This window comes from Homo sapiens, chromosome 11 (genome assembly GCF_000001405.40).
Source record: "Homo sapiens chromosome 11, GRCh38.p14 Primary Assembly".
NCBI lineage: Eukaryota > Metazoa > Chordata > Mammalia > Primates > Hominidae > Homo > Homo sapiens.
Genome location: NC_000011.10, coordinates 13,783,403 through 13,805,367, shown reverse-complemented (window position 1 = coordinate 13,805,367; position 21,965 = coordinate 13,783,403). Strand labels below are relative to the sequence as shown.

Here is a 21,965-nt window from a genome sequence, read left to right as displayed (position 1 = left end):
TGCTATTGTGAAGTGCTTGCTCAACTATCTCACTCATTTTTCCTTTGGATTGTCTTTTTCTTATTGCATGCATATATATACACACACACACACACACACACACACACACATACACACATTCTGAATATGAGCCCCTTACTCATTATGTATGTTCTAAATATAGTCTCATATTTTCTTAGTAGTGCCCCTTGATAAACAGAAATTCTTAATTTTAATATGTCCTTATCAATCTATCAATCTTTCCCTTTTTGGTTTTGTTTTATGTGTGTTGTTTAAAAAGTCATTCCTACCTCAAAGTTAGGAAGATGTTCTCATGGATTTTCCTGTAGAAGCTGTACTGTCTTTGCTTTCTATCTACTATTCACTTGGGATTCATTTTTTGTACATAGTGAGGCAGGGGTTGAGATTTATTTTTTCCATGTGGACAGCCAGTTGACACAGCACCATTTATTGAAAAGTTTGCCTTTCCCCAGTTTTTCAGAGCCACATTTGTCACAAATTGTTTCTATGTCCATAGAGCTATTTTGTGGGATATTGTATTTGAGTAAACTATTTGAATATCTTTATGTCAATAATGTCTTAATTGCAGCTTTATAAGTTTTGATATCCAATAACACAAGTCTTCCCACTTTTTTCTCCTTCAAGATTATTTTGGTTATCTTTGGCCTTTTGCATTTCCATAAAACTTTTTAGAATCAGATTGTTAATGTTCATAATCTCTACACCAAACCTGTGACACACAGTTCACCTATATAGCAAACCTGCATGTGTACCCCTGAACCTAAAATAAATGTTTAAAAATAATACATTGAGATTTCGATTAGGATTGCATTGGAACTATAGATTAGTCGGGGGGGTTATATATTTTTTAAATTGAGTCTTAAAATCCACAGACATGACATGTTCCCCCATATATTTATGTCTTTAGTTTGTTTCTATAATGATATTCTGAGTGAAGGTCTTAGACATTTTTATCACATATATTTAATATTTTGATGTTAATCCAAATGATATCTTTTTAATTTCATTTTAAGTTATATATATTTTCATATATGGTGCAATTGATATTTTATATTCACCTAGTAGCACTTTGTTCAATTCATTTATTAACTCTAAATAATTTCTTTTAGACTTCTTTGGGCATATAATTATATTATCTGTGAATAATTGTAGTTTTTCTTCCATTGTAATTCTTATACTTTTAGTTTCTAATTTTTTCTTGCCCTAATGCATTGACTAGATCCTTCAATTTAATGTAAAATAGAAGTAGTAACAGTTGACTTCCATGCCCTATTGTTCCATGTCTTATTCTTGACTTCATAGGAAAGGTTTTCAGTATTACACATGAAGTATGTTTGCTGCATTTTCTAGGTACTTATTATCTGATTAAGAAGTTCTCTCCTGATCCTATTTTGCTTAGCATTTTTATCATAAATGGGAGTTAAATTTTATCAATTGGTCAAATTTTATCAATTGGTCAAATTTTATCAATTGGTCCTACTACATTTACAGAAATTATCTCATAATTTTTTCCTCCTTTATTCTGTTAATGTGGCGTCTTGGTCCTTTTAGGCTGCTGTAACAAAATACCATATACTGGATGGCTTATAAACAATAGAAATTTATTTCTCACAGTTCTAGAGGCTGGAAAATCCAAGATCAAGTTGTAGGCAAATTCAGTGTCCAACAAGGGCCTGCTTCCTTATAGACAACCATCTACTCCCTGTAATCTCACACAGTGGAAGGTGGGGTTGGGGAGAGATCTCTCTGGGGACTATTTTATAAGGGCGCTAATCCCATTCATGAGGGCTTTACCCTCATGATCTAATTACCTCCCAAAGGCCCCACCTTCAAATACCTTCACACTGGAGATTAGGATTCCACATTTGAATTTTGGGAGGATACAAACATTCAAACCATACATGTGGCAAATTACATTAACTAATTTTTGAATGTTAAACCAATAATGCATTCCTGGTTAAATTCTGTTTGGTTGTGATATTTTATCACTTTTTTATTTATCACTGGATTCGGTTTGCTAACATTTTAAAAAGATTTTTGCATGTATTTTTATGAATGAAATTGACTTTATTTTCTGTAATGTCCTTATCAAATTCAGGTATCAAAATCATAACTGCTTAATGAAACAAGTTGGAGGATATTTTCTCTTTTTATAGTCTCTGGAAGAGTTTAAGATTGATGTTATGTTTTCCTTAGACCATTGTAGAATCTACCAGTGAAACCATCTGGAACTGCAGTTTTCTTCATGTAAGATTTTAAATTATGTATTCTACTTAACAGTTGCAGGACTATCTGGATATTCTATTTCTTCTTGTGACAGTTTTGATAAGTTTGATAACATTTTCTAAAAATTTGATCAGTTTTCAGATTAATTACATTATTTTTAAGAACATTAAATTTCTTAATACTCTATTTTTTTTAACATTTGAATGATATAAAGTGACTACATTTTTTTCATTCATTACATTGTTTTCTTTCATGTTTTTGATGCGTCTCACTAGGGTTTTATAGAATTATTTTAACCTCTTCAAAAGACCAATTTTTGGCTATGCTGACTTCCATTTTAGTTTATTATTTCATTAATCTCTGTTTTGTTTTTTCTTTGTTGTTTTTTTTTTTTTTTTTTTTGAGACAGGGTCTTGTTCTGTTGTCCAGGCTGGAATTCAGTGGCATGATCACAGCTGCTCACTGCAGCCTTGACCTTCCCAGGCTCAGGTGATCCTCCACCTCAGCTTCCAAGTAGGTGGGCTACAGGCATGTGTCACCATACCAAGCCAATTTTTTTGTATTTTTTGTAGAGACGGTTTCACTGTGTTGCCAAGGCTGGTCTCAAACTCCTGGACTCAAGTGATCTGCCTGCCTTGGCCTCTTAAAGTGCTGGGATTACAGGTGTGAGCCACCAGGCCCAACTCCTTTCTTCTATTTTTTTAAATTTAATTTGATATTGTTTTTCCTATTTAAGTTGGATTCTCAGATCATTGGTTTTTTAGTCTTTTTTACTTTTCTAATGTACGTATTTCAACATGTAAATTTTCCACTAACATGCCTTTTTAGGACCACCCTTGTTAATTAAATCTTTAATTATTATAATGTGTCCCCCTTTCTTTTGTAAGGTATTGAAGTCTTTAACTGTGATGCTATAGCTGTACCAGCTTTCTTTTGAGTATTTTCATAATATCTCTTCTTTTTTCTATATATTTATATTTTATCTATATCTTGTATAAAGCATAAAGTTTTTTAGTAGTACCTAGTAATCTTTTATTTTTAATCAGAGCATTTAATTCATTTTCATTATAATAACTGATACATTTGGGTTTTAATTTTATGATTTTAGGATTTCTTTCTCTGTGTCCCATGTATTTTTTTCTCTTTTCCTACTTTCTCTTGAAGTGTTCGAATTATCCAAGTTTTCTTTTATGTTAGCTGGGACACCAAATGCTGTTTTATAATTCTTTTGGTGATTACCCTAGAGATTGCATCATGGCTTATCGACTTATCTAATTCAGTTTTAAGTGGCATTTTTTACCTTCTTTTGGACAATGTAAAGACTTTACAACACTTTATCTCCTTCTGACTCATGAGATCTTTATCATATAATTTATAAATTTATTTTAGGTAGTTTTATACAATAATTATATTTATTCATTTTTATGTCTCTTCATTCCTTCCTATATTACCAACCTGGTATTATTTCCTTCCAGTTTTTAATATTTCCTTTAGTTTAGATCTACTGGTTATGAACTTTCTCCATTTATATTAGAAAATGTATTTCACATTTATTCTTGAAGAATGTTTTTGATGGATGATGTGGTTTGGCTGTGTCCCCACCCACATCTTACCTTGAATTGTAATAATCCCCATGTGTTAAAGATGAGGCTAGGTGGAGATAATTTAATCAAGGGGGTAGTCTCCCACATACTGATCTCTTGGTAGTGAGTAAGTCTCATGAGATCTGATGGTTTTATATATGGGAGTTCCCCTGCACAAGCACTCTTGTCTGCCACCACGTAAGATGTGCCTTTGCTTCTCCTTTGCCTTCTGCCAAGATTATGAGATCTCCCCGGCCATGTGGAACTGTGAGTTCATTAAATCTCTTTCCATTATAAATTACCCAATCTTTGATATGTATTAGCAGCATGAGAACAGACTAATACAATGGATGATTTGAATTCTAAGGTTCACAATTATTTTCTTTTAGCACTTATTCCACTGTCTTTTGGCTTCCATTCTTTCTGTTAATGTGTCAGTTGCTGGTCTTATTGTTGTGCCTTTAAAGGTAATATGCCTGCCTTGTGGCTGATTTTAAGATTATTTCCTTTCCTTGTTTCTTAGCATCTTTACTCTGACATGCTAGATGTGGAATATTTATCCTGCAAGAAGTTTGCAGAAAAATCTTAAAACACTGGATTTATTTAATTTGCTAGTTTTGAAAATTCTCAGCCACTGCATTTCAAATATTGCTTCATTTCTATTCTTTCTCTCCTCTGCCTACTGGAATGTTGTGATGATTAATTTTATGTGTCAAGTTGATTGGGCTAAAGGATGCCCAGATAACTGGTAAAACATTAGTTCTGGGTGTACGTGTGAGGGTGTTTCCAGAAGACACTAGCATTTGTTTTTTTGATTTTTTTATTATTATACTTTAAGTTCTAGGGTACATGTGTACAATGTTGTACATGTGTACAACGTGCAGGTTACATATGTATACATGTGCCATGTTGGTGTGCTGCACCCATTAACTCGTCATTTACATTAGCTATATCTCTTAATACTATCCCTCCCCCCTACCCCTACGCCACAACAGGCCCCAGTGTGTGATGTTCCCCTTCCTGCGTCCAAGTGTTCTCATTGTTCAATTCCCACCTATGAGTGAGAACATGCGGTGTTAGGTTTTTTGCCCTTGAGATAGTTTACTGAGAATGATGGTTTCCAGCTTCATCCATGTCTCTACAAAGGACATGAACTCATCCTTTTTTGTGGTTGCATAGTATTCCATGGTGTATATGTGCCACATTTTCTTAATCCAGTCTATCATTGACGGACACTTGCGTTGGTTCCAAGTCTTTGCTATTGTGAATAGTGCCGCAATAAACATACATGTGCATGTGTCTTTACAGTAGCATGATTTATAATCCTTTGGGTATATACCCAGTAATGGGATGGCTGGGTCAAATGGTATTTCTAGCTCTAGATCCTTGAGGAATCACCACACTGTCTTCCACAATGGTTGAACTAGTTTACAGTCCCACCAGCGGTGTAGAAGTGTTCTTATTTCCCCACATCCTCTCCAGCACCTGTTGTTTCCTGATTTTTTAATGATCACCATTCTAACTGGTGTGAGATGGTATCTCATTGTGGTTTTGATTTGCATTTCTCTGATGGCTAGTGATGATGAGCATTTTTTCATGTGTCTGTTGGCTGCATAAATGAGAAGACACTAGCATTTGAATCAGTAAACTGAGTAAAGATCCTCACCAATGTGACTAAGTATCTTCCAGTCCACTGAGGGCCTGAATAAAACAAAAAGGCAGAGAAAGGACAAATTCAGTCTTTCTTCTTGAGCAGAGACATCCATCTTCTCCTGCCCTTGGACATTAGTGTTCTTGATTCTAGGGCCTTTAGGTTTGGACTAGAACTGCACCACTGGCTTTCCCAGGCCTCTATTTGCAGATGGCAGATTGTGGGACTTCTCAACCTCTATTATAATTCTGTGAGTGAATCCTTCATAATAAATCTCTATGTATATATCCTGTTGGTTCTGTTTCTCAGGTGAACCCTTATACAAATGTCAGTAATACAAATACAGAACTATATAGGATATGCCTATACCCCCCACTGGCCTCTTATCTTTCACTCTGTGTTTTTGCTACTTGTCTGTATTTCAGTCTGATGCTTTCTTTCAAACTATCTTCCAATGTATTAATTCTCTCATTAGCTGTTAAACCCATTCACTGAATCCTTAATTTTGGTTTTGATATCCAAAATACCCACTATTGTTTTTAAAAATAGCTTTCGGAGTCAAGATGGCCGAATAGGAACAGCTCCGCTCTACAGCTCCCGGCCTGAGCAATGCAGAAGACGGGTGATTTCTGCATTTCCATCTGAGCTTTGAAGAGAGCAGTGGTTCTCCCAGTACGCAGCTGGAGATCTGAGAATGGGCACACTGCCTCCTCAAGTGGGTCCCTGATCCCTGATCCCTGACCCCCGAGCAGCCTAACTGGGAGGCACCCTCCAGCAGGGGCACACTGACACCTCACACTGCAGGGTACTCCAACAGACCTGCAGCTGAGGGTCCTGTCTGTTAGAAGGAAAACTAACAAACAGAAAGGACATCCACACCAAAAACCCGTCTGTACATCACCATCATCAAAGACCAAAAGTAGATAAAACCACAAAGATGGGGAAAAAACAGAGCAGAAAAACTGGAAACTCTAAAAATCAGAGCGCCTCTCCTCCTCCAAAGGAACGCAGCTCCTCACCAGCAACGGAACAAAGCTGGATGGAAAATGACTTTGATGAGCTGAGAGAAGAAGGCATCAGACGATCAAATTACTCTGAGCTACGGGAGGACATTCAAACCAAAGGCAAAAAAGTTGAAAACTTTGAAAAAAATTTAGAAGAATGTATAACTAGAATAACCAATACAGAGAAGTGCTTAAAGGAGCTGATGGAGCTGAAAACCAAGGCTCGAGAACTACCTGAAGAATGCAGAAGCCTCAGGAGCCGATGTGATCAACTGGAAGAAAGGGTATCAGCAATGGAAGATGAAATGAATGAAATGAAGCCAGAAGGAAAGTTTAGAGAAAAAAGAATAAAAAGAAACAAACAAAGCCTCCAAGAAATATGGGACTATGTGAAAAGACCAAATCTACATCTAACTGGTGTACCTGAAAGTGATGGGGAGAATGGAACCAAGTTGGAAAACACTCTGCAGGATATTATCCAGGAGAATTTCCCCAATCTAGCAAGGCAGGCCAACGTTCAGATTCAGGAAATACAGAGAACGCCACAAAGATACTCCTCGAGAAGAGCAACTCCAAGACACATAATTGTCAGATTCACCAAAGTTGAAATGAAGGAAAAAATGTTAAGGGCAGCCAGAGAGAAAAGTTGGGTTACCCTCAAAGGGAAGCCCATCAGACTAACAGCGGATCTCTCGGCAGAAACCCTACAAGCCAGAAGAGAGTGGGGGCCAATATTCAACATTCTTAAAGAAAAGAATTTTCAACCCAGAATTTCATATCCAGCCAAACTAAGCTTCATAACTGAAGGAGAAATAAAATCCTTTACAGACAAGCAAAGGCGGAGAGATTTTGTCATCACCAGGCCTGCCCTAAAAGAGCTGCTGAAGGAAGCACTAAACATGGAAAGGAACAACCGGTACCAGCCACTGCAAGATCATGCCAAAATGTAAAGACCATCGAGACTAGGAAGAAACTGCATCAACTAACGAGCAAAATCACCAGCTAACATCATAATGACAGGATCAAATTCACACATAACAATATTAACTTTAAATGTAAATGGACTAAATGCTCCAATTAAAAGGCACAGACTGGCAAATTGGATAAAGAGTCAAGACCCATCAGTGTGTTGTATTCAGGAAACCCATCTCATGTGCAGAGACATACATAGGCTCAAAATAAAGGGATGGAGGAAGATCTACCAAGCAAATGGAAAACAAAAAAAGGCAGGGGTTGCAATCCTAGTCTCTGATAAAACAGACTTTAAACCAACAAAGATCAAAAGAGACAAAGAAGGCCATTACATAATGGTAAAGGGATCAATTCAACAAGAAGAGCTAACTATCCTAAATATATATGCACCCAATAGAGGAGCACCCAGATTCATAAAGCAAGTCCTGAGTGACCTACAAAGAGACTTAGACTCCCACACATTAATAATGGGAGACTTTAACACCCCACTGTCAACATTAGACAGATCAATGAAACAGAAAGTCAACAACGATACCCAGGAATTGAACGCATCTCTGCACCAAGCAGACCTAATAGACATCTACAGAACTCTCCACTCCAAATCAACAGAATATACATTTTTTTCAGCACCACACCACACCTATTCCAAAATTGACCACATACTTGGAAGTAAAGCTCTCCTCAGCAAATGTAAAAGAACAGAAATTATAACAAACTATCTCTCAGACCACAGTGCAATCAAACTAGAACTCAGGATTAAGAATCTCACTCAAAACCGCTCAACTACATGGAAACTGAACAACCTGCTCCTGAATGACTACTGGGTACATAATGAAGTGAAGGCAGAAATAAAGATGTTCTTTGAAACCAATGAGAACAAAGACACAACATACGAGAATCTCTGGGATGCATTCAAAGCAGTGTGTAGAGGGAAATTTACACCACTAAATGCCCACAAGAGAAAGCAGGAAAGATCCAAAATTGACACCCTAACATCACAATTAAAAGAACTAGAAAAGCAAGAGCAAACACATTCAAAAGCTAGCAGAAGGCAAGAAATAACTAAAATCAGAGCAGAACTGAAGGAAATAGAGACACAAAAAAACCCTTCAAAAAATTAATGAATCCAGGAGCTGGTTTTTTGAAAGGATCAACAAAATTGATAGACCACTAGCAAGACTAATAAAGAAAAAAAGAGAGAAGAATCAAATAGATGCAATAATAAATGATAAAGGGGATATCACCACCGATCCCACAGAAATACAAACTACCATCAGAGAATACTACAAACACCTCTATGCAAATAAACTAGAAAATCTAGAGGAAATGGATAAATTCCTTGACACATACACTCTACCAAGACTAAACCAGGAAGAAGTTGAATCTCTGAATAGACCAATAACAGGATCTGAAACTGTGGCAATAATCAATAGCTTACCAACCAAAAAGAGTCCAGGACCAGATGGATTCACAGCCGAATTCTACCAGAGGTACAAGGAGGAACTGGTACCATTCCTTCTGAAACTATTCCAATCAATAGAAAAAGAGGGAATCCTCCCTAACTCATTTTATGAGGCCAGCATCATTCTGATACCAAAGCCGGGCAGAGACACAACCAAAAAAGAGAATTTTAGACCAATAACCTTGATGAACATTGATGCAAATATCCTCAATAAAATACTGGCAAACCGAATCCAGCAGCACATCAAAAAGCTTATCCACCATGATCAAGTGGGCTTCATCCCTGGGATGCAAGGCTGGTTCAAGATACGCAAATCAATAAATGTAATCCAGCATATAAACAGAGCCAAAGACAAAAACCAGATGATTATCTCAATAGATGCAGAAAAGGCCTTTGACAAAATTCAACAACCCTTCATGCTAAAAACTCTCAATAAATTAGGTACTGATGGGACATATTTCAAAATAATAAGAGCTATTTATGACAAACCCACAGCCAATATCATACTGAATGGGCAAAAACTGGAAGCATTCCCTTTGAAAACTGGCACAAGACAAGGATGCCCTCTCTCACCACTCCTATTCAACATAGTGTTGGAAGTTCTGGCCAGGGCAATTAGGCAGGAGAAGGAAATAAACGGTATTCAATTAGGAAAAGAGGAAGTCAAATTGTCCCTGTTTGCAGATGACATGATTATATATCTAGAAAACCCCATTGTCTCAGCACAAAATCTCCTTAAGCTGATAAGCAACTTCAGCAAAGTCTCAGGATACAAAATCAATGTGCAAAACTCACAAGCATTCTTATACACCAACAACAGACAGAGAGCCAAATCATGAGTGAACTCCCATTCATAATTGCTTCAAAGAGAATAAAATACCTAGGAATCCAACTTACAAGGGATGTGAAGGACCTCTTCAAGGAGAACTACAAACCACTGCTCAAGGAAATAAAAGAGGATACAAACAAATGGAAGAACATTCCATGCTCATGGGTAGGAAGAATCAATATCGTGAAAATGGCCATACTGCCCAAGGTAATTTATAGATTCAATGCCATCCCCATCAAGCTACCAATGCCTTTCTTCACAGAATTGGAAAAAACTACTTTAAAGTTCATATGGAACCAAAAAAGAGCCCGCATTGCCAAGTCAATCCTAAGCCAAAAGAACAAAGCTGGAGGCATCACACTACCTGACTTCAAACTATACTACAAGGCTACAGTAACCAAAACAGCATGGTACTGGTACCAAAACAGAGATATAGATCAATGGAACAGAACAGAGCCCTCAGAAATAATGCCGCATATCTACAACTATCTGATCTTTGACAAACCTGAGAAAAACAAGCAATGGGGAAAGGATTCCCTATTTAATAAATGGTGCTGGGAAAACTGGCTAGCCATATGTAGAAAGCTGAAACTGGATCCCTTCCTTACACCTTATACAAAAATCAATTCAAGATGGATTAAAGACTTACATGTTAGACCTAAAACCATAAAAACCCTAGAAGAAAACCTAGGCATTACCATTCAGGACATAGGCATGGGCAAGGGCTTCATGTCTAAAACACCATAAGCAATGGCAACAAAAGCCAAAATTGACAAATGGGATCTAATTAAACTCAAGAGCTTCTGCACAGCAAAAGAAACTATCATCAGAGTGAACAGGCAACCTACAAAATGGGAGAAAATTTTCGCAACCTACTCATATGACAAAGGGCTAATATCCAGAATCTACAATGAACTCAAACAAATTTACAAGAAAACAACAAACAACCCCATCAAAAAGTGGGCGAAGGACATGAACAGACACTTCTCAAAAGAAGACATTTATGCAGCCAAAAAACACATGAAAAAATGCTCATCATCACTGGCCATCAGAGAAATGCAAATCAAAACAACAATGAGATATCATCTCACACCAGATAGAATGGCAATCATTAAAAAGTCAGGAAACAACAGGTGCTGGAGAGGATGTGGAGAAATAGGAACACTTTTACACTGTTGGTGGGACTGTAAACTAGTTCAACCATTGTGGAAGTCAGTGTGGCGATTCCTCAGGGATCTAGAACTGGAAATACCATTTGACCCAGCCATCCCATTACTGGGTATATACCCAAAGGACTATAAATCATGCTGCTATAAAGACACAAGCACATGTATGTTTATTGCGGCATTATTCACAATAGCAAAGACTTGGAACCAACCCAAATGTCCAACAATGATAGACTGGATGAAGAAAACGTGGCACATATACACCATGGAATACTATGCAGCCATAAAAAATGATGAGTTCATGTCCTTTGTAGGGACATGGATGAAATTGGAAACCATCATTCTCAGTAAACTCTCGCAAGAACAAAAAACCAAACACCGCATATTCTCACTCATAGGTGGGAATTGAACAGTGAGATCACACGGACACAGGAAGGGGAACATCACACTCTGGGGACTGTTGTGGGGTGGGGGGAGGGGGGAGGGATAGCATTGGGAGATATACCTAATGCTAGATGACGAGTTAGTGGGTGCAGCACACCAGCATGGCACATGTATACGTATGTAACTAACCTGCACAATGTGCACATGTACCCTAAAACTTAAAGTATAATAATAAAAAAATAATAATAAATAAAAAATAAATAAATAAAATAGCTTTCAATTCTCTGCTTAAGCTCAAGAAATTGCATTTTATTTCCTTCAATATCATAATCACCATTATTTAAGTGTCTATATCTGATAACTCCAATATATGAAGCCCTATCAGTTTTGCTTCTAGTAGCTTTCATTCTTATTGTTTTGTCTCCTTGTGTTCCTGGATTGTTTTTATTCAGTCCAGGATGCCGTTCTTTACAAAACTTCTTTGGGAAAAAATTTGTGACATACATTATCCTTTCTTCCTGGGAGGATTGGTATTTGCCACTGCCAGGTGTTGGCACTGTTAATTCACCTTAATTTTCAAGGATTGGGATAAATCAAAGCTGCATTATAGTCTCTGTGATGGACTTACAAACTCCATTTCATGCTTACTTCTAGAACACAAAATTGGGGACCTAAACCTAAATCAAGTAGGGCTCACCAAGTTTCCCCCATGTCCAGCAAGTGAGATGATTGTTAAGCTATTATAACTCAGCTTCAAACTCATCCTTTTATATTTTGCCTTGTGATGCTAGAACTGGGATTCTGCAAACCACATTGTAAACTCAATAAAACTTATGTTGTGATTTTCACCTTCTCACTTTTGTATGTTTGAATGTCCTAAGTCTGGTGAAATAGCTGTTAGTAAATTGTTATGCATGTATATTTAATCCTTACTTCACAATATAAAAATTGGCAGAACTTTTTGTTGTTCCTACTTAAATTTTTTTATTGAACTATGAAACTAGAAGTCTTGGATCAAAAATGCAATATACATTGTTGATTCGGATTTCTGTTGTGCTCATGGCCAAAATGGAGACAAGAATTGGATGCAGCACCTGTGGAGGCAGGCAGAGTGTCCTGATGGCAGTGTTTTGTGACATGTGACCCAGACAACTAAGTTGTAGACATTCTATGCCACTTGTCATTAACACTCCAAGTCCCTCAGGTGGTTCCCTACCCCTTCTCTTCACCTCTTTTTCTGTCCTCCTCCTGACCCTTGGCTTCGTTCCCTATTTACGACCCTGCACCCTTCTCTAGCCTTAGATGTTTGTATTCAAAAATGTCAACACAAATGAACTAAGTATTCAATGTAAGATATTAAAACAGAAACAAAGTAAAAGAAATATGAGGGAATCAATAAAGACAAAAAGCTGAAATAATCACAAAACAAAATACCAGCAGAAATGATAGATAAGCCCAACACTTTTGCAAGTTTGACTAAGAAAAAAATGCAGGACAAATATGTACATCAGGGATAAAAAAGAAGATATAATCATAGTTATGAAAATAGTAAAAGTAATTATAAAATATTATGTAAAATATTGTCAATAAAATTTCAAATCTAGGTGATATGGATAATTTTTCCAGCACAGTATAAATTACCAAAATTGACTCGAGAAAAAGTAGCCTACCTGAACACAACAGATTAAAAAGGTTTTTCAAAGATCTACCACTTTAAAAAATGAAAATTAAAAAGAATAGAGTGGTTATTTTACAATGAAGCTCTAACTAAACTATTAAGGATCATATAATCCTATCTAAATTATTCAAACTGTTCCAAAATATGTAAGTGAAAAGTTTCCCAAATAATTTAATAAATCTAATATAAACTTAATACCCAAGCCTAGTAAGTAGCATCCAAATGAAAGTAAGCTAATCTGACTTATGAATAGCTATGCAAAAAAATTCTAAAGAGAATATTCACAGCTGGTGTATTGAAAAAATAATATATTATGATTGAGGCAGATTTATACCTCATTGAAGTGTCACTAGCACTATAGCACTGTTAGCAATATATATATTGTCCTCTGCTGGCTATGCTCTTCTCCATAAGTTGAGATGTCTTTGGGGTCAAGGAGATTTGCCCATTTGGAGTCCTGCCCTAGACCCACTCCCTGCTTATAGACCACACTCTGGGTGTTTAGGACCCTGGAATTCCATGCCCAGTTATTCCTGAAGCCACCTACCTGGCCTTCACAGGCCTCTTTCCATTCTCACAAGAGTGGACTGTGTTGTTGGAATGCCCATACCTAGACTCAAGGTATAGTCAAGAGTGACTCATTGCAGAGAGTATAAATGCAGCTTGAATGCATTAGTTAACATGTGCACTAGTAAGAAGTGATATCTCAGTCTGTACAACTAGAAAAAAATATTATAAACAGGATGGCTTAAAAACAACAGAAATTTATCTCTCATAGTTCTGGAGTCTAGCAAGTCTAAGATCAAAGTGCTGGCAGATTTGGTGTCTGGTTAGGGCCTGCTTCCTGGTTCATAGATGGTGCCTTCTTACTGAATCCTCACATGCTGGAAGGAACAAGGCAGCTCCCCAGGACCTCTTTCTATAAAAGCAGTACTCCCATTCATGAGGGCTCCATCCTCATGATCCAGTCACATCTCAAAGACCCATGATCAAATTCTGAGTGGCCACAACATTCAGGTCATGGCAGATGAGAAGATAAGGAGGGCAGACCTTGGGCCAGGTACTAGCTTTTCCCATACCATTACTTATGGTACAGAGCTCTGAGGGATACAAGAATTCTACATTTGAACCTGGCCTTTCTGGTTATTATAAAGATAAAATTGTCAAGGTAAGAAGATAAAACATTTTACTTAACAGTTTATTAACTTGACTTATAGCTTCTAAATATGTGGTCATTTGATAAGTAAGCCTTCATTTTTACTCTTGCCCTAGGCCTTGCAAATGTTACGAGTGATCTAGCCTGCCTCTTCCAGATTTGGCAGAGGTGAGAAAACACTAGAAGACTAATGAATACATCATGAGCAAATATCTTATATATAATATGTATATCTACATATACATATATGATGTATAAATACATACCTATACATGTGTGTATATATATCTACCTACATACACGTATAAGTATTGATTTATCTGTAGCGAACATGTGTATGCATACTTATATGTATGTACACACAGAAATATTTACATATTGTGTGCATGTGTACACACACACACACAAACACACACATCAGAATAAACACAGGGGAAAAATTGGAACCTCCCATTGCAGGAAAGGTGGAAAACTACAAATTGACGCTGTTCCTCTTCTCCCCTACCAAATTGAAAATGCCAAGAAAAATTGTATCTATAAAGAGACTTACATAATGTCAGTCTCAGAAGTGTCATCCTTGACAGATTGAATGTAGTTAAGTTGTAAGAGGAAAGGAATGACAAGCAGAAGTTGATTCCATCCAAAAGCATGGATGGATGCTGGGGTCAGTATTAAGGTGCTGCATACTAACAGAGGTTTTCACTTTACACCCCACTCCACATTGCTCTGGGCAATCCTCACAGAGAACTGCAACTGGTCAGGTCCCGCCCCATTGCCACAATTAAGTTGCCCCTCTCCCAACACTGTATACTCTCTGGCCAGATGGAGCACCCAGGATGCCTGAGCTTTTTTAATTAGAAGTGTGGCAGGACAACTCCATGAGCACATTCATCAAGCTGACACCCTAATTGATATAAATTGTTACCGTTTCAAGGGGAATAAAGTAATGGCAACAGCTGGAAGAGAGTGGGCATGGTCCAGTTAGTACTTTGGCCCCAAAAAGCAGGGAAGCCTACCATAATGAGTACCAGCTAGCTAGGTCCTGAGCATCCATTCAATCGCTAGTGATGAAGAGTGGCTGTATCAGTCAACCCTTGCTGTGTAACAAACCGCCTCCCAAATCTCAGTGGGTTAAAACAATTATTTATTTTTAAATCACAGATCTGGAGGTTGGCAGGTTAAGGCTAAGCTCTACTCCTGTGTCTCTCACTGTCTAAGCCAACAGGCCAGCCCGCATGTTCTTTTCATGGGGATGGCAAAATCTCTGGGAAGCAATTAGAAGTATGTATGGCCTCTTGTGCCTAGGCTTGAAACTAGCACATCCTCACTTCCACCTCATTCCATTAGCCAAAGCAAGTGATGAGAATGGAAACAACCCAAATGTCCATGAGAAGCTGAATGGATAACAAACTATAACATATTTGTACAATGGTATGTTATTCAACAATAAAAACTACCAAATTGCTGACATGCACAACATGGAGAATAGAAAGGGATATTTGAAAAGATACATAAGAAGTCCCCAAAGCCTTCTTACAGAGCAGAACATAATGAATGCCAAGCAGGACCATTATCTCAGTTTGTTGTTTCCCCCTCCCCCATACCCCATGGAGTGGAGTACAAAACAAGGTACCTTCTCAGACATCCCTACCAGCAATTAACTTTTCTTTCCTGACTCACTTCCTCAATGCTCCAGCCCAGACACTTGTAGCTCCCCTGTGTGGAAGGGAAGCAATTACTCTATACGTGTTTTTCCAAAGTTATTGTTGAAGCTCAGGCCCAGCTTTAAAGTTCCAAAACAAAACAAAATTACATATTTTATTTTCTTTGCATTTCTACCATAACAATCCAACTTGAGGGATGAGAATGCTGAAGTCTAGTTTAAGAGAGGCTTGGTGGCGGGGAGAAAGGAAGGGAAGAGAAATTGTAGAGGTAAAACATGTCAGTTATTATTTTAAAGTATTAACCCACCTCATTTACTTCTTGGAATAAAATATTTCCTTTAACAAGAAGTTTAAAAACATATGTTCTTTCTTAGGGAGAAAAAAAATGAATCTTCCTTAAGGCTTTCCATTTTATGGAAACATCACCATCAGTGGGAGATCCCTGGTTAGCACTCTTTGGTTCCTTTGTTGAAGTTGTCAACCCTTTTCACAAGCTACATTTCCCTTTTTTTCCCCAAAGAAATACCATGGCTCTGAAAACATTCTCAATGAGCAGCCTTTGGTAATGGAAAGAGACAACAATGAGTTGATGTTTGATGCTTCCCATAAATACCCCCACTGACCCCCAATATGTCAGGCTTCTTAGGTATCCTGAGCCGGAAGCCCCTGATGGAGGAGAAGGGTGATATTTCAAATACTCCTCATTAAAAATATAGAAAGTATCCTAGAACCAAACAATCCAACACCTGAAACTAATTTTTTGACATGTTCATGGGCTTTAATGACAGCTTCATTAATTGAGTGTAGTCACAGGGGGGAAAAATCATGTTTTTCTTAATGACCTGCCAGATGATGGATTTGTTTGGTTATTTACTTTACTCTGAAAAATTTCAAAGGAAGGAAAGAGAAAGAAGGACAAGCTCTGGGTGTCACATCATAACTGAGCTTGACCAAGAGGCTTCTTGGAGTCTCAATGGTGAGTCAATCTGAAAATGATGAGGTGGGCTGGGCAGATTAAGGAAGCAGTGTGATATTCTTGCTAGGAGCCTTGCTACTCAGTAAGGTTCATGGACCAGTGGCATTGGCTTACTGGAAGCTGATTATAAATGCACCATCTTAGGCCCTACCCCACATCTACCGAATAGAAATCTGCATTGAACAAGATCCTTCAGTGATTCTCAGGCTCATTTTGAGAAGCACTGGTTAAGAGCATGAGATTTCCAGTGAACTTAGGTGAGGATTCCAACTTCACTTACTGCTAGCTGTGAATAAGGCACAATTGAGCCTGTCTCAGCCACAGTTTTTAATCTGTAAAACAGGCGTAATATCTACCTCACTGAACTGTGAGATTAAACAAAATAAGCACTTAGCATAATTCCAGGTATGTAATACATTTTGTATAAACGGTAAGTAACAGTACTATTGGGGCTTCTCTCATCCATTCATTTTTGAAATCGGGCAGAACTGTCTTCAAATCCAAGTTTTACAACTTAAGAGCTATATGATCTTAGTTATGTTATCTAACTTTTCTAGGCTTCGATCTCTCCATCTGCAAAATGGGCATAATTTAAATGTCAGGGCATCTCAAGCCTTAAGCTACAGACCAATTACATAAGTGAAGTCATAAAACTTCCAGAGATCTCTGCAACTACAGGGCTTGCCCTCACTCACTCTTGTGCGGAGTCTACAGATGCCGTCTCTGTTCCTCCTCATGTCTTCCCTGGTGCAAAGTTTGGGTCTGTTACCAGTTTTCACAAGAAATCCACTTACTCCAAATGTTCTGTGAGTTGGGTAGAATTTCCTAAGGATTTGGGCAGTGGGTCACAAGGAAAGATCATATTGCACACAACATAGTCTTATGCCATCATCTGGCCCTTTCCCTTTATATTAGTTCATTCTCACTGTGCTATAAAGAACTGCCCAAACTAGGTAATTTATAAAGGAACCAGGTTTAATTGACTCACAGTTCCGTATGGCTAGGGAGGCCTCAGAACACTTACAATTACGGCGGAAGGCAAAGGGGAAGCAAGGATCTTCACGTGGCAGCAGCAGGGAGAAGAGTGATGAGTGAACAGGGAAGAGCCCCTTGTAAAACCATCAGATCTCGTGAGAACTCACTCACTACCACGAGAACAGCATGGGGGGAAACCAACCCCATGATTCAATTAGCTCCACCTGGTTTCTGTCTAGATACATAGAGATTATGGGGATTATAATTCAAGATGAGATTTTGGGTGGGGACACAGTCAAACCATATCACCCTTCTCCCCCTCATCTACCCTCGTTACAGCTCCCCTCAGGAAAGAAAAAATTTCTCTCTTCATCATCCAGAAGGAAGCTCAGCTTTAGAAGATGTAGTGGGACAAGCTGTTTGTTCTCATTCTAGTGCCACTACTACTGTTTACTCTCTCTGGGCCTCCATTTTCTCATCCCTAAAATAGTCAAGAGTTTCTCAATCACAGGGATGGCATGAGAACTAAAGGAGCTGTTAAAATGCTTCTGGAGTGCCTGGTACACAGTGGGTTGCTGGTTATTAAGTGATTGCATCCTGACTCCAATCCTCTCTTCTTCACTCTGCTTTCTGATGCTGGGACTAGCCTCTGCAATTCCCTTTGCTGGCTCCTGTCAGGCTCTTCCTGTCAGGTATGCCACAGCAGTTTGAACGTTGGAGGAGTGAAGGACACTTCCTCCTTGCCAATTGCTACCTGATCCTATCAGCATTGCCACCAGCAACATTGCTTCGCCCTGGCAGCACAGCAATGGATTCCAGGAGCACAGGCCGTTCTAGTTTGCAATCATTCCACACTTTTAGAACCAGCTTCCTGGTGCCTCTCAGAAATACAGCAGCAGCCACCACACCTGCTCCTCTGAAGTCAGAATTTCAGCTCCGTGGAGCCTCTTCTGCAGGCTCCAAGCTCAGAGCCCTTGGTCTATTTGAGAAGTGCCTAATCCTTAGAGGGCTAAGCCCCAACTCTGCAGACCCCTCCTATAAGCGTTTACATTTTAGTAATCCCTACATCTTTCGTTTGTTCCCCCATCCCTAGGGTAGCTTCTGGCAGCTACTGCCTTTGTGATACCTCAGTATCCCCCTTTTGGCTTTTCAGTTCTCCTCCACCTGGCAAATAGCTAAAACAATAACCAGGTTTCTAACAGGATACTTTCTGATATAGACCATATGTAAAAAAAAAATTAGTTTCCTTCCAGAAAATAAAATCTACCTTTTAAATATCAAGTTTTGCCACCAATAAGGATATTCACAAGAACATGCCAATGGCTTTGAAAGCAATTTCCAAAGGAAAAATTTTAAACTATTTTGGGTTCTGACGGCATCGTTGGTATAGAACCATAATCCCAAACATTTGGGAAAAAAGAGTTGAAACACGTTTCTAGGGAAAAAAAATGCAGACTTAGGCTTATCTCTCATGGCAGAGCTGATACATGATCTAGAGAGATGTTACCTGTGTAGACACAAGTGTAGGCAAGACCAGGGAAGAGCCCTGATGCAGCAGGTGCAGGATGTCACATTTCCAGAGGTCAAGGAGGTCATGGGCCAAAGTTAAAATCCATGGAATTTAAGAGAACCTGGAAATAGCAGTTTGGTGAGTGATGCCAAAAAGTCTAAGTTGACCATACTTTAATAACTGCTGGCCATGACTTAAACAGAAATCAAAATGGAACTGAAAATAATGTTTTATATGTATTTGTAAATTTTAGTTTTTGAGACAGATGTACTCTGTCACCCAGGCTGGAGTGCAGTGGCACAATCACAGCCCACTGCAGCCTCAAACCCTGGGGCTCAACCGACCCTCCCGCCTCAGTCCCCTGTGTAGCTGAGACCACAGGCATTTGCCACCATACCCAGCTAATTTTTTTACTTTTTGTAGAGACAGGGTCCCACTATGTTGCCCATGATAGTCTCAAACTCCTGAGCTCAAGCCATCCTCCCACCTCGGCCTCCCAAAATGCTGGGATTACAGGTGTGAGCCACCATACCTGGCCTGTTTTATATTTATTTAATTAGTAAAGATAAATGGAAAGTGTATGTCAGTGATCTTGCTCTACAACTGGTACCTTGCACAAAGCTGGTGGCAGTGTACACAGAGCAAAATGATAATCACCTGAAAGAGCCACAGCAATGTTGATCTCCTTTGACCCAGTCATTCCATTACTGAAAATTAATCCTAGAGAAGTGAAAAGAATTTTTAAAAACCTACATTTGTGAATATATTCATTGAAGTGTTATATACAAGAATGAAAAATAAGATCATGCAATTAGTAAATAAAAGGAGAATAACCAAAATGTCATTCACTTGATGAAGATTATGTAAAAAACGTGGAGGATTTTTGTGGTGTGATATTCAGTAGAAGAAATCAGGGAATCAAATATAGAGGAGACAAAAAGAAAGGATACAAGAACAAAGGTTCAGTAATGTTGCTCTCTGTTACCACAGGGATGAGCATAAGGAACACTCTGAGGGTCTTGTTCCAAGGCACCATGCCAACAAAAGGCGGCTGGGCAAGCTGGGCAGAATACAGAAGCCATTCATAAACCTTCGCCACCTGTGGTATAGGGTGGACTAGACCTTCTGGTCTTAAATGAAGAATAATTTTCATAATCTTTGGGAACGTGCGTGTGTTTCACTAAAGGAAAGATAGTTTTGTTACAGATTGCAATCCCTCTCTTCCATAATAAGCAGAATAATTTTGAGGTTACACTGTAGGTTCTTTCTCCCATCAGATCAATCCTGAAGGTGGTCTTGCTCCAGGAGTAGGAGAAAGGAAAGAGAATGAAGGGTAGAATCGGAGCACACTGTAGCAAGCATGTGTGGAAGATTTAGTATATCTCAAGGAGGGAAGGGAGTGATAGACCACTGAGTTAAACAGCTGGTCAGTGAAAAACAGCCATATGCATTGGCCAACCAATTAGTTCAAGAGAAAATTGGCTGCAGGTGGTAAGTTAAGAGCCAAGCGTGGCCTCTGACCAAAGGGGTTTTACCAGCACTTGGTGTTTGACCTTCCAGGAGCTTTGGCTTGCTGTAAAAAAAGCTTGGAAGACTGACTTCCTATCAGCCTCAGTGACCCCCAGAGTTCTAAAAGCTACGTGGAATTTGGCTACTGTATAAATCATACAAGAAGTTATTCCAAATAGAGGAGAGAATGAAGTTGTGATTACCAGGTATGGAGAGAAATTCAGTTTTCCTGAAGACATTTGCTATGAGTGCAGAAAATCCACAAGGGTCAATTTGCTAATTGAGATTATCTGTCAGTCTTTAGCATTGGAGAATAGCCAGGGTTGGAGGACCCCCCCATGGCAATAGGCTGGTTTTCTTGGTTGCTGGGAGATGAAGAGGATGAAACGATCTACCTGAGTTAGAAACCTGCCTCAAACTTGTTTGTTCAGCAAGCATTTGCTGAGCCCTTGCTGTACATGTGGCCCATATTCCATTAGGAGAGGCAAACACTGAGACAATTTCAGCAGAAGGTAAATGCTTGTCTGGATGTTTGTGCCTCTCCATGCCCTAAAAACTCCTATGCTGAAACCTAACTCCCAATGTGATGGTATTAGGACGTGGGGCCTTTTGGGAGGTGATTAGGTCACAAAGGTGGAGCCAATGTAAATGGGATTACTGTCCTTATAAGAGAAGCCCCGGCAGGGCACAGTGGCTCACGCCTATAATCCTAGCACTTTGGGAGGCCGAGGTGGGCAGATTGCCTGAGCTCAGGAGTTCGAGACCAGCCTGGGTAAGGCGGTGAAACCCCACCTCTAATAAAATCCAAAAACTTAGCCGGGCGTGGCAGCATGCACCTGCAGTCCCAGCTACTCGGGAGGCTGAGGCAGAAGAATTGCTTGAACCTGGGAGGCGGAGGTTGCACAGTGAGCCAAGATCGCGCCACTGCACTCCAGCCTGGACGACAGAGCGAGATTCCATCTCCAAAAAAGAGAAGCTCCAAGAGTTGCCTTCATTCTTCCACCAAGTGAGGTGAGAAGGTACTTTTATGAACCAGAAAGAGGGCCCTCACCAGACACCAAGTCTGCCAGCTCCTGGATCTTATACTTCCCAGCCTCCAGAACTGTTAAGAAATACATTTCTGTTTTTTATAAGTGGCACGTGCACTAAGATGCCACCTTTATAATCAAATTATGGCTTCAGAAAAACAAGAATTGCTT

General features: G+C 38.9%; 1 long non-coding RNA gene across 1 annotated transcript in view; it reads right to left on the bottom strand.

Annotated features, from left to right (window-relative positions):
• Positions 1–20,982, bottom strand: part of LINC02548 (long intergenic non-protein coding RNA 2548) — a 63,617-nt gene extending 42,635 nt beyond the window's left edge. Inside the window, exons 1-3 of the long non-coding RNA NR_149108.1 lie at positions 20,970–20,982; positions 19,915–19,977; positions 19,255–19,378 (exon numbers count right to left, since the gene is read on the bottom strand). This is a non-coding gene — a long non-coding RNA (long intergenic non-protein coding RNA 2548). The remainder of the gene's footprint in view (positions 1–19,254; positions 19,379–19,914; positions 19,978–20,969) is intronic.
• Positions 20,983–21,965: the final 983 nt, after the last annotated feature.